The following is a 12,868-nucleotide window of genomic DNA, read 5'->3' as shown; positions in this document are numbered from 1 at the left end:
TTGGTTTACTAGTTCTAAGAGACTTTTGGTGGAGCACTTAGGGTTTTCTATGCACATATTATGTCATCTTCAAACAGGGAAAATTTGACATCCTTGCCCACTCTTTTCTTTCTCTTGCCTGATCTCTGTGGCTAAGACTTCCAGCACTATGTTCAATAAAAGTGGTGGAACTGGACATACTTCTCTTGTTCCCGTTCTTAGAGGAAAACTTTCAGTGCCCATTTTGTGTGATAGTGGCTGTGGATTTGTCATGCCTATCCTTTATTTTGTTATGTATGCTTTTTCTATACTTACTTTGTTGAGTGCTTTTTATCATGAAGAAATTTTGAATGTTATCAAATGCTTTACCTACATTTATTGAGATGATCATATGATTTTTGCTATTCACTCTGTTGCTCTTCAATAAATATGATGTTATGTCATTTTTTATTTGAATGTATCAAAACATCCTTCATCCCTGGGATAAAGCTCAATTGATCATAGTAAATTATCTTTGTAGCGTGCTGATGGATTTAGTTTGCTAGTATGTAACTGAGAATTTTGGCACCTCTATTGACCAGAGATGCTGGTCTGTGGTTTTCTTTTCTTCTTGCATCCCATTCTGGTTTTGGTATAAGGGTAATGCCGGCTTCATAGAATGAGTTAAGAAGAATTCCTTCTTCTTTGATGTTTGGAATAGTTTGAGAAGAATTGGTATTGAGTCTTTTTTTTTTTAATGTTTGGTAGAATTCATCTTTAAAGCCATCAGGTCCTGGGCTTTTCTTTGATGAGAGAGTTTTTATTACTGATTATATTTCATTACTTGTAATTAGCCTGTTTAGATTTTCTGTTGTGTCTCCTCCTTTTTCATTCCTGATTTCATTTATTTGAGTCTTTTTGTTCTCACTTGGTCTAGCTAAATGTTTTGTTCTCACTTGGTCTAGCTAAACCCAACTCTTTGTTTTATTGATCTTTTGTATTTTATTTTTTACTTTCAATTTCATTTATTTTTGTTCTAATCTTTATTACTTCATTTTTTTCTACTAATTTTGAGTTTGGTTTGCTTTTGCTCTTCTAGTTCTTTGAGGTGCATTATTAGATTGTTTATTTGAAATCTTTCTACTTTTTTGATGTAGGTGTTTATTACTATACACTTCCTTCTTAATACTGCTTTTGCTGTATCTCATAGCTTTTGATATATTGTGCTTATACTTTAATTTAATCCAACAAATTTTAAATGTACTTCCTAATATTTTATTTATTCATTAGTTGTTTGGGAGCATGTTGTTAACTTTCATGTATTTGTACAATTTTGAAAGTTATTTTTGTTACAGATTTCTAGGTTTATTTCCTTGCCAGCAGAAAGTATACTTAACGTGATATCAGTACTTTTTTTTTTTTGGGACGGAGTCTCTCTCTGTCACCCAGGCTGGAGTACAGTGGCTCAATCTTGGCTCACTGCAAGCTCTGACTCCTCAGTTCAGGCCATTCTCCTGCCTCAGCCTCCCAAGTGGCTGGGACTACAGACACCTGCCACCACACCTGGCTAATTTTTTTGTATTTTTAGTAGAGACGGGGTTTCACTGTGTGTTAGCCAGGATGGTCTCGATCTCTGATATCAGTACATTTAAATTTCTTGAGACTTCCTTTGTAGCCCAATGTGTGGGCTACATGTGCTAATGGAAAAAAAGTGTATTCTGCAGCTGTTGCACAAACCATTCTGTCAATGTCTATTAAGTCTATTTGGTCTAAAGTGAAATTAAATTTAAATACAATGTATCTTTGTTGACTTTCTGTCTAGATGACCTGTCCAATGTTGAGAGTGGCTTATTGAAGTCCACAATTATTATTGTATTGGAGTCTATCTCTCCTTTTAGATTTAAAAATATTTATTTTCTATATTTAGGTGTTCCAGTGTTGGGAGCATATAGAGTTACTATTGTTATATGCTCTTGCTGAATTTATCCCTTGTCTGTTTTATTTTTATCTGATATAAACATAGCCACTCCTATTTGCTTTTGGTTTCCACTTGGGTAAAATGTCTTTTTCCATCCCTTCACTTTCAGTCTGTATGTTTCTGGATAGGTAAAGTGAATTTCTTGTAGGAAGTACATAGTTGGGTCATTTAAAAAATCCATTCAGCCAGTCTATATATTTGAAGTGGGGGATTTAATCTGTTTACATTCAAAGTTATTATAGGTAAGAACCTTCTTCTGTCATTTTATTCATTGTTTGCTAGTTGTTTTGTATATCTTTTATTCCTCTCTTCTTCTCTTATTGTTTATGCTAGTGCGCTGCACCCACTAACTCGTCATCTAGCATTAGGTATATCTCCCAATGCTATCCCTCCCCCCTCCCCCCACCCCACCACAGTCCCCAGAGTGTGATATTCCCTTTCCTGTGTCCATGTGATCTCATTATTCAATTCCCACCTATGAGTGAGAATATGCGGTGTTTGGTTTTTTGTTCTTGTGATAGTTTACTGAGAATGATGATTTCCAATTTCATCCATGTCCCTACAAAGGACATGAACTCATCATTTTTTATGGCTGCATAGTATTCCATGGTGTATATGTGCCACATTTTCTTAATCCAGTCTATCATTGTTGGATATTTGGGTTGGTTCCAAGTCTTTGCTATTGTGAATAATGCCGCAATAAACATACGTGTGCATGTGTCTTTATAGCAGCATGATTTATAGTCATTTGGGTATATACCCAGTAATGGGATGGCTGGGTCAAATGGTATTTCTAGTTCTAGATCCCTGAGGAATCGCCACACTGACTTCCACAATGGTTGAACTAGTTTACAGTCCCACCAACAATGTAAAAGTGTTCCTATTTCTCCACATCCTGTCCAGCACCTGTTGTTTCCTGACTTTTTAATGATTGCCATTCTAACTGGTGTGAGATGGTATCTCATTGTGGTTTTGATTTGCATTTCTCTGATGGCCAGTGATGGTGAGCATTTTTTCATGTGTTTTTTGGCTCCATAAATGTCTTCTTTTGAGAAGTGTCTGTTCATGTCCTTCGCCCACTTTTTGATGGGGTTGTTTGTTTTTTTCTTGTAAATTTGGTTGAGTTCATTGTAGATTCTGGATATTAGCCCTTTGTCAGATGAGTAGGTTGCGAAAGTTTTCTCCCATGTTGTAGGTTGCCTGTTCACTCTGATGGTAGTTTCTTTTGCTGTGCAGAAGCTCTTTAGTTTAATTAGATCCCATTTGTCAATTTTGTCTTTTGTTGCCATTGCTTTTGGTGTTTTGGACATGAAGTCCTTGCCCATGCCTATGTCCTGAATGGTATTGCCTAGGTTTTCTTCTAGGGTTTTTATGGTTTTAGGTCTAACATTTAAGTCTTTAGTCCATCTTGAATTAATTTTTGTGTAAGGTGTAAGGAAGGGATCCAGTTTCAGCTTTCTACATATGGCTAGCCAGTTTTCCCAGCACCATTTATTAAATAGGGAATCCTTTCCCCATTTCTTGTTTTTGTCATGTTGTCAAAGATCAGATAGAAGGACCTCTTCAAGGAGAACTACAAACCACTGCTCAATGAAATAAAAGAAGATACAAAGAAATGGAAGAACATTCCATGCTCATAGGTAGGAAGAATCAATATCGTGAAAATGGCCACACTGCCCAAGGTAATTTATAGATTCAGTGCCATCCCCATCAAGCTACCAATGACTTCCTTCACAGAATTGGAAAAAACTACTTTAAAGTTCATATGGCACCAAAAAAGAGCCCGCATCGCCAAGTCAATCCTAAGCCAAAAGAACAAAGCTGGAGGCATCACGCTACTTGACTTCAAACTATACTACAAGGCTACAGTAACCAAAACAGCATGGTACTGCTACCAAAAGAGAGATCTAGATCAATAGAACAGAACAGAGCCCTCAGAAATAATGCCATTTATCTACAACTATCTGATCTTTGACAAACCTGAGAAAAACAAGCAATGGGGAAAGGATTCCCTATTTAATAAATGGTGCTGGGAAAACTGGCTAGCCATATGTAGAGAGCTGAAACTGGATCCCTTCCTTACACCTTATACAAAAATTAATTCAAGATGGACTAAAGACCTAAACGTTAGACCTAAAACCATAAAAGCCCTAGAAGTAAACTTAGGCATTATCATTCAGGACATAGGCATGGGCAAGGACTTCATGTCTAAAACACCAAAAGCAATGGCAACAAAAGCCAAAATTGACAAATGGGATCTAATTAAACTAAAGAGCTTCTGCACAGCAAAGGAAACTACCATCAGAGTGAACAGGCAACCTACAAAATGGGAGAAAATTTTCGCAACCTACTCATCTGACAGAGGGCTAATATCCAGAATCTACAATGAACTCAAACAAATTTACAAGAAAAAAACAAACAACCCCATCAAAAAGTGGGCAAAGGATATAAACAGACACTTCTCAAAAGAAGACATTTATGCGCCAAAAAACACATGAAAAAATGCTCATCATCACTGGCCATCAGAGAAATGCAAATCAAAACCACAATGAGATACCATCTCACACCAGTTAGAATGGCAATCATTAAAAAGTCAGGAAACAACAGGTGCTGGAGAGGATGTGGAGAAATAGGACACTTTTACACTGTTGGTGGGACTGTAAACTAGTTCAACCATGGTGGAAGTCAGTGTGGCTATTCCTCAGGGATCTAGAACTAGAAATACCATTTGACCCAGCCATCCCATTACTGGGTATATACCCAAAGGACTGTAAATCATGCGGCTATAAAGACACATGCACACATATGTTTATTGCGGCACTATCCACAACAGCAAAGACTTGGAACCAACCCAAATGTCCAACAATGATAGACTGGATTAAGAAAATGTGGCACATATACACCACGGAATACTATGCAGCCATAAAAAATGATGAGTTCATGTCCTTTGTAGGGACTTGGATGAAATTGGAAATCATCATTCTCAGTAAACTATCGCAAGAACAAAAAACCAAACACCGCATATTCTCACTCATAGGTGGGAATTGAACAATGAGAACACATGGACACAGGAAGGGGAACATCACACTCTGGGGACTGTTGTGGGGTGGGGGGAGTGGGGAGGGATAGCTTTAGGAGATATACCTAATGCTAAATGACGAATTAATGGGTGCAGCAGACCAGCATGGCACATGTATACATATGTAACTAACCTGCACATTGTGCACATGTACCCTAAAACTATAATAATAATAAAATAAAATAAATAAAAAAATAAAAAAAAAATTTGAATAAACCCAAATGGATATTTTGGTAATAGAAAAAAAAAAAGAAATCCTCTTAGCAATTAGTAATTAGCAATCATTGGTGGTGGGGATAGAAGGATCCCAGTGGTTTCATTCATACTTTTTTTTGGTTTAGTTTATCTCTGTGCTCGTTGTGCATAAATGTAGTTTAGCAAAACAGGTTTTAGCTGGTGTAGGACTGGTCTATTAGGACAAATTCCCTTAGCATTTCTTGTCTGAAAAAGATGTTATTTCTCCTTCTGTTTTTACTTAGTTTTGTTGGATACAAAATTCCTGGCTGACAGTTTTTTCTGTACAAGGTAGCTAATGATAGGACCCTAATTCCTTCTGGCTCATAAAGTCTCTGCTGAGAAGTCTTGTTAGTCTGATAGGTTTTCCTTTATAGGTACCTGATGCTTTTCCTCACTGCTCTTAGCATTCTTCCTATGATGTTGTCTTTAGATATCCTAATGACTATGTGCCTTGGTCATGTCCTTTTTGCAAATAATTCCCCAGGAGTTCTTTGAGCCTATTATATTTAGATATCTAAATCTCTAACAAGACCAGGAAAGTTTTCCTCAGTTATTCCCTAAACTAAGTTTTCCAAACTTTCTGTTTATCTTCTTCCTCAGGAACATCAGTGATACTTATATTTGGCCATTATAGATAATCTTGTATTTCTTGGGTACACTTTCCATTTCTTTTCTTTTTTTAAAAAAAAGAAAGAAAAAAGTTAGTTCTTTTTTCTTTATTTTTGTCTAATTGGTTTAACTCAAAGCCTTGTCTTTGAGCTCTGAAATTCTTTCTTCGACTTGGTCAAGCCTACTTTCAAAACTTTCCCCTGCATTTTGTAAGTCTCTAAATGTGTCTTTCATTTCTAGAATTTCTGATTGATTTTTCTTTAAAATAGCTATTTCTTTAGAAAAGTTTTATTTATATCCTGAATTAATTTTTAAATTTATTTATGCTGGTTTTCAGTTCTCCCTTGTATCTCCTTGAGTAACTTAATAATTAATCTTTTGAATTCTTTATCTGGTATTTCAAAGATTTCTTCTTGGTTTGGATCTATTGCTGGAGAGCTAATGGTTGTTATAGAACCCTGTTTTGTCATATTGCCAGAATTATTTTTCTGATTTCCACTCACCTGGTTAGACTGCTTCTTCTAATTATTTTTGAACTTATTTTTGATTAATTGTGATGTTTCTTAGATCTTTTTTCCCTTTGAGGATGTGACTTTGATGTTTAGAGTTTATTGTAACCTATGGCTCTGGGTGCTTTCGTGGGTGCAGACTCTGTATGAGTTCCTTGGTTATACGGAGTCTTTGTATGGTGGCTTTCTCAGATGCTAGTTGTAGTAGCAATGTGCTCAGTGTGAGGGCAGGTTCACTGTTTCTGTTGGTGTTGGAAGGGCAGAGGTCTCTTGAAGCTTATCTCATTCCCCAGTAGTATGCATTTATTTATTTATTTATATCCCCCCAACCTTTTTTTTTTTTACCTGGATGAACAGTTCAGGCTTTAGGCCACTCAAGGGAGGTATCCATGAATAAAAACCAGCTGTGGTTAAAGCAGTTTGGTCAATGCAGTTCCCAGTGGGGGGCAAAGGTGCCATCCTTGACAGATGTGGTTGGGGGAGCTCTCAGGGAAACACATGGAGGTCTTTTCAAGGGGAAGGGAGGGAGCCTCCTCAGCTCCCCTGCCAGGACAGCAGGAAACCTACCCACCTCCCAGATACACTCCTGACCCAGTGATCTGACTAGTCAGATCAGATAGGCACCTCTTTTCATTTGCAGGAATGCTGATATTCCCTGTAGAGAGGGACTGGGGCTCTGCCACTCATGCAAGCCTGAACCTGGAGAGTGCTCCTCCTATAGAATGCAGTCACTCTGAACTATTCCAGAGAGAATGAATGTCTACATGTGTAGCCATGCCAAGCTGTCATGGGAGAAGCTGCAGCTGTGTCTGCAGTAGTGGACAAGGGGAAGAAAAAGTCCCCTTCTCTAAGACCCTTCATTGATCCCCAGAAGTGCCTGACTGTTGAAGTAGATCTGCAGACATTTCCGCCACTGAACCCAGCACTGCACCTATGCCTCTGCTGAAAGAAACTTCTTGCCAGGCACAGCGGCTCAAGCCTGTAATCCCAACACTTTGGGAGGCTGAGGCGAGTGGATCACGAGTTGAAAACTAGCCGGCCAAGATGGCAAATCCTCATCTCTACTAAAAATACAAGAAGTTAGCTGGGCACGGTGGCAGGCGCCTGTAACCCCAGCTACTCAGCAAGCTGAGGCAGGAGAATTGCCTGAACCCAGGTGCAGTGAGCCGAGATTGCGCCACTGCACTCCAGCCTGGGGGACAGAGCGAAAGTCTGTCTCAAAAAAAAAAAAAAAGAAAAAGAAAAGCAACTTCTCATATGCGGAAAGTGGGACTCAAGGTCTACCATCTGGAATCTTTTGTCCCATGGTGTGCTCCATTGATACGGTGCACTCCCCTTCCCCCTAGAAGTAGGAGTCTCAGAGAGCCAGACTACTATGAAGGCTGCGGCTCCTCTTGGTCTAGCCACCCAGTGGGGCTGCCACAATTTATGCTGGTGCTGGAGAATATCTGCAAGGGGCCAATCAAGTAACGGATCCTCAAAACCCCCAGCAGTGGTACCAGCCCCAGCTCTGATGGGGGAAGAAGGGGAGTGATGTAGATTCTGTGAGATTGCTCAGTTATAAGTAGCCTTAGTGTGTTGGCTTTCTCAAATGCCAGCTGTGGTACTAACAAACTGGTCATGTGGACAGACTCAGAACTTCCTGATTAACCAGATGGATGCAGGCAATAGTGATAGCTGAGGTCATGCACAAGTTTTCTCCTTCCTGCTGGCTGTTATTGTGCTTGCAAGCAGATACTATAATGGACTCTGTCAATTGGCCCACAGCCAGGAGGTGGCGCTTGCAAAATAACACCAGCTGTGGTGGTAGCAGTGGAATTTGTGTCTGTCTTATGTTACCCAGAGGAGGTACTCTCGCGTCTCAGGCAGTGGCGGGCCGGGCGGGGGGGCCATAGGGCTCCCAAAAATTTCTGCCCTACGTATTAATATATCAGGGCAGGTGGAGGGGCAAAGCCAAGTGAGAGCTCAATCAGGCAAGTCCGCACTCTGGCTCTCCACCTCTGGACAAAAGCAGTAGCCCCACTGGGGATCAGAGAGTGGTTCTCTGGTTGCAGGAATAATGTCCAGGGAGGAGCACAGCTGCCTCTGCTTCACAGAAGAGTCTGTATGGGGAATGGGGAGTAGCAGGTGGCAATAAGCCACACCCAGCTCCTACACTCTTGGCAAGACAGGTCTTGCACCCACAGTGTTCCACTAGCAGCAGCTAGCTAGGTTCCAGGCAGTCTGTGCTCAGAATTCAAATGTGCCCCAGGCCATACGCCTTCCCTGAGGAGCCAGTATCTGCAGCTTTCAGGCCACACCTCTCCAGGTTTGCCCATTAAGCAGGGACACAAAAGTCCAATGCTGAGCCAGTATCTGCAGCTTTCAGGCCACACCTCTCCAGGTTTGCCCATTAAGCAGGAACACCAAGCTCCTGTGCTGGTTGCTGCAGCTCACTTCCCACTTGCCTCTTGGTCTGACCACGGGGGAGTTATCCCTACTTGAGATTATATTGTGAATCTCAGTTGGGAGTTTCTCTCAACCTGTGACCACCACCTGTGTTAGCTGGCAGACGTCCATGAGGTCCCCTGTGAGGTAGGATCAGGAATGGCTTCCCTTTGTCCTGCTGGAGACTGGGAATGCCAGAGACTGGGAATGCCTGCCCTGATGCCACTTCTCATATACTCCCACCACTTACTAAGTCAGCTCCAGTACTCAGAAGGATTAAGACCCAGCCACCCAGTTGGCCTGCCACAAGGAAGGATTAAGACCTTCCCTGTGGCCTGGATTACCAGGTTCCCCGGTGGGACTGTATATCCTGGAGGCACTTTACCCTCTCTCACACTCTGGGGACTTACAGTTGTCCACCTGGCTCGTGGTGTAGGCTGCAGCCTGATGCTTCTTTCAAAGGGTGGTTTCTTTCAGTTTTCCTGTTAAGTTCCTGTGTCACTTCTTGGAAAAAACTTCACAGTGTGAATCTTTACACACTATGTTGTCTTCCAAGTGGGAGAAGCATGCTAACAATCCCTCCAATCCACCATCTCAGGAAAAAAATAAATAAACTGTCTTTTCTATAATCCCCATTTCAATGGGGGTGAGATGTTATCTCACTGTGGTTTTGATTCCCATTTCCCAGATGGTTAGTAATGTTGAGCAACTCTTCATATACCTATTGGTATGTCTTCTTTTGAGGAATGTCTATTCAGATCATTTGCCCATTTTTACTCGAATTATTTTTGGGTTTCCTTTGCTATTAGTTGTCTGAGTTCCTCATATGGTCTGATTACCAATCCTTTGTCAGACTGAAAACGTGCAAATTTTTCTTCTCATTCTGTAGGTTGTCTCTTCACTTTGTTGATTGATTTCTTTGCTCTGAAGAAGCTTTTTTGTTGGATTTAATCCCATTTCACCATTTTACCTTTGTTGCCTATGCTGTTGAGTTCTTATCAAAAAACTTCTTGCCCGTATCAGTTTCCTTAAGCATTTCCCCAATGTTTTCTTCGAGTAATTCATAGTTTCAGGTCTTGCATTTAAGTCTTTTATCCATTTTGGTTTGATTTTTGAATATGGTAAGAGATAAGCATCTGGTTTCATTTTCTGCATGTACACATTCAGTTCTTTCACCATCATTTATTGAAGAGATTGTCCTTTCCCCATTGAATATTCTTGGCAACTTTGTTGAAATTCAGCTGGGTGTAAATTCATGGATTTATTTCTGGGTTCTATGTTCTGTTCCATTGGTCTTTTTCCATTGGTCTCTCTTTATGCCAGTATCATACTGTTCTGATTACTATAGCTTTGTAGTATAATTTGAAGTCAGATAGTGTGATTCTTCCAGATTTCTTCTTTTCACTCAGGATTGCTTCAACTCTGTGTAGTGTTCTATGATATCATATAAATTTTAGAATCTGTTTTTTTCTATTTCTCTAGAGAATGTCACTGGTATTTTGGCAGAGATTGCATTAAATCTGTAGAATGTTCTTGGTAGCTGAGTCATTTTCACAATATTAGTTCCTCCAACTAATGTTGGAATAATGTTCCTTCCAACATGGAATGTCTTTCTATTTTTTTTTGTGACCTCTTCAGTTTCTTTTGTCAGTATTTTATAGTTTTCCTTGCAGAGCTCTTTCATCTGCTTAGTTATTTTTATTTTTAAGTCATGTATATACACTATACTATTTCTTAGTAATCTGTATTACTTAGAAATATTTTTTTTTGAGATGGAATTTCACTTTTCTAGCCCAGGCTGAAGTACAATGGTGCGATCTCGGCTCACTGAAATCTTCGCCTCCCGGGTTCAAGCGATTCTCCTGCCTCAGCCTCCTAAGCAGTTTAGATTACAGGCACACACCACCACGCCCAGCTAATTTTTGTATTTTTAGTAGAGACAGGGTTTCACCATGTTGGTCAGGCTGGTCTTGAACTCCTGACCTCAGGTCATCCAACTGGCTCAGCCTCCCAAAGTGCTGGGATTACAGGCATGAGACACAGCGCCCAGCCACTTAGAAATAAATTTAACTGAGTAAGTTAAATTTATTTCTAAGTTATATATATATAATATATATACACATATGTATTATACTATTTCTTAGTAATATATATTGCATAGAAATTAATTTAAATAAGTAGGCAAAAGATCTCTGCAAGGAAAACTATAAAACACTGATGAAAGACACTGAAAAGATCACCAAAAAAAGGAAAGACATATTATAATATATATTAATTAATATATGTATGTATAGAATACCAATCCGATGCATGTTAGGAACCAGGCTGCACAGCAGGAGGTGAGTGGTGGGCAAGCAAGCAAAGGTGAGCTCCGCCTCTTGCCCTGCTGATCGGATGCAGATCAGCAGCAGCATTCAATTCTCATAGGAATGTGAACCCTACTGTGAACTCCAAACATGAGGCGTCTAGTTTACACACTCCTTATGAGGATCTAATGATAAGTGTAATGTGCTTGAATCATCCCAAAACCATCCCCTACCTTCGTCCATGGGAAAATCGTCTTCCGTGAAACTCGTCCCTGGTGCCAAAAAAGATGGAGACTGCTAGTCTAGATGAACTGTCCAATGCTGACAGTGGGTTGCTGAAGTCCCCAGTGATTATTGTATCACAGTATATGTCTCTCTTTAGATCTAATAATGTGTGCTTTCGATATCTGGGTACTCTACTATTGGGTGTAAATAATATTGTAAATATTTACAACATTTGCAATTATTTCCTCTAGTTGAATTGATCCCTTTATTATTATATAATAAACATCTTTGTCTCTTTTTACAGATTTTAACTTAAAGTCTATTTTACCTGATATAAATATAGCTACTCCTGTTTGCTTTTGGTTCTCAAAAAACGTAAATCAAAACCACAGTGAGATAACACCTCACCCCCATTGAAAAGGGGATTACAGAAAAGACAGTTTATTAATTTTTTTCCTGAGATGGTGGATTGGTGGCATTGTTAGTATGCTTCTTCCACTTGGAAGACAAAATAGTGTGTAAAGGTTCACACTGTGAAGTTTTTTCCAGTTTCTGCCAGATAATTTTATACTTTTGTATGTTGTCATGATGGTAGTTATCCTATTTTCACTTCCAGATGCAGGACTTCCTTGAGCATTTCTTATAAGGCAGAAAATATTCTCAGGATGTCAGTTCTTCCCAAGTAATTATGTAGATTCAATGCAGTCCCAGTAAAAATTTAAGAAGGCTTTTTTAATGGATATCAACAAACTAACTCTAAAATGCACATGGAGAGACAAAAGACCTAGAATAGTCAACACACTGTTGAAGAAGTGGAATATTGTTTGAGGAATGACAATATCCCACTTCAAGACTTACTGTAAAGTTACAGTAATCAAGATGTTGTGGTATTAGTAAAAGACAAATAGGTCAATGGACCAGAATACAAATCCCAGAAAATAGACCCACGTTAAGTATAGGCAACTGATCTTTCACAAGAGTTCCAAGGAAGTACAATGGCCCTAAACAAGAAAATATAATGTATTTGGAGATAAGAATCAAGGACAAGGTGACTGAGTGTAACAAGGGAGGAATATGAGCTGGAGAGAAGATTTGACAAGTCTGCAGGGTGCAGCGGTGCAGAATTCCTTAGGCTATGAACAGAGGTCAATGTTTGTGGCAGGACATCATTTTAAAACATTAACTGAGGCTTCTTTCCTTCTCCTACCACCTTGCACTTTCAGGTGCCCGCAACCAGTCTTAGAAAAAATTGCCTCCTAAATGCACAGCCCTCTAAAAGGCAAGAGATTATTCAAGGAGCACAAATATTACAATTTTTGCCTGTAAGTTCCAAGACAGTCTTTAAAGTCGTGGTAGAAAAAAACTATCTTGAAAGGCAACATGGTTTATTAGCCAGACTTTCTCAGAGAGGAGGTAATAATGGCCACATTTATTAAGCATCCAATATGCACCAGGCAACAAGTTCTGAGTTCTCCACATTTTGTCCTCAGGACAACCCTGAGTTAGGTAGTGTTGTTGCCCACATTATATGTTTGAGGAA

This window comes from Homo sapiens, chromosome 19, assembly GCF_000001405.40.
Source record: "Homo sapiens chromosome 19, GRCh38.p14 Primary Assembly".
NCBI lineage: Eukaryota > Metazoa > Chordata > Mammalia > Primates > Hominidae > Homo > Homo sapiens.
Note: the sequence above shows the minus strand (reverse complement) of the source record.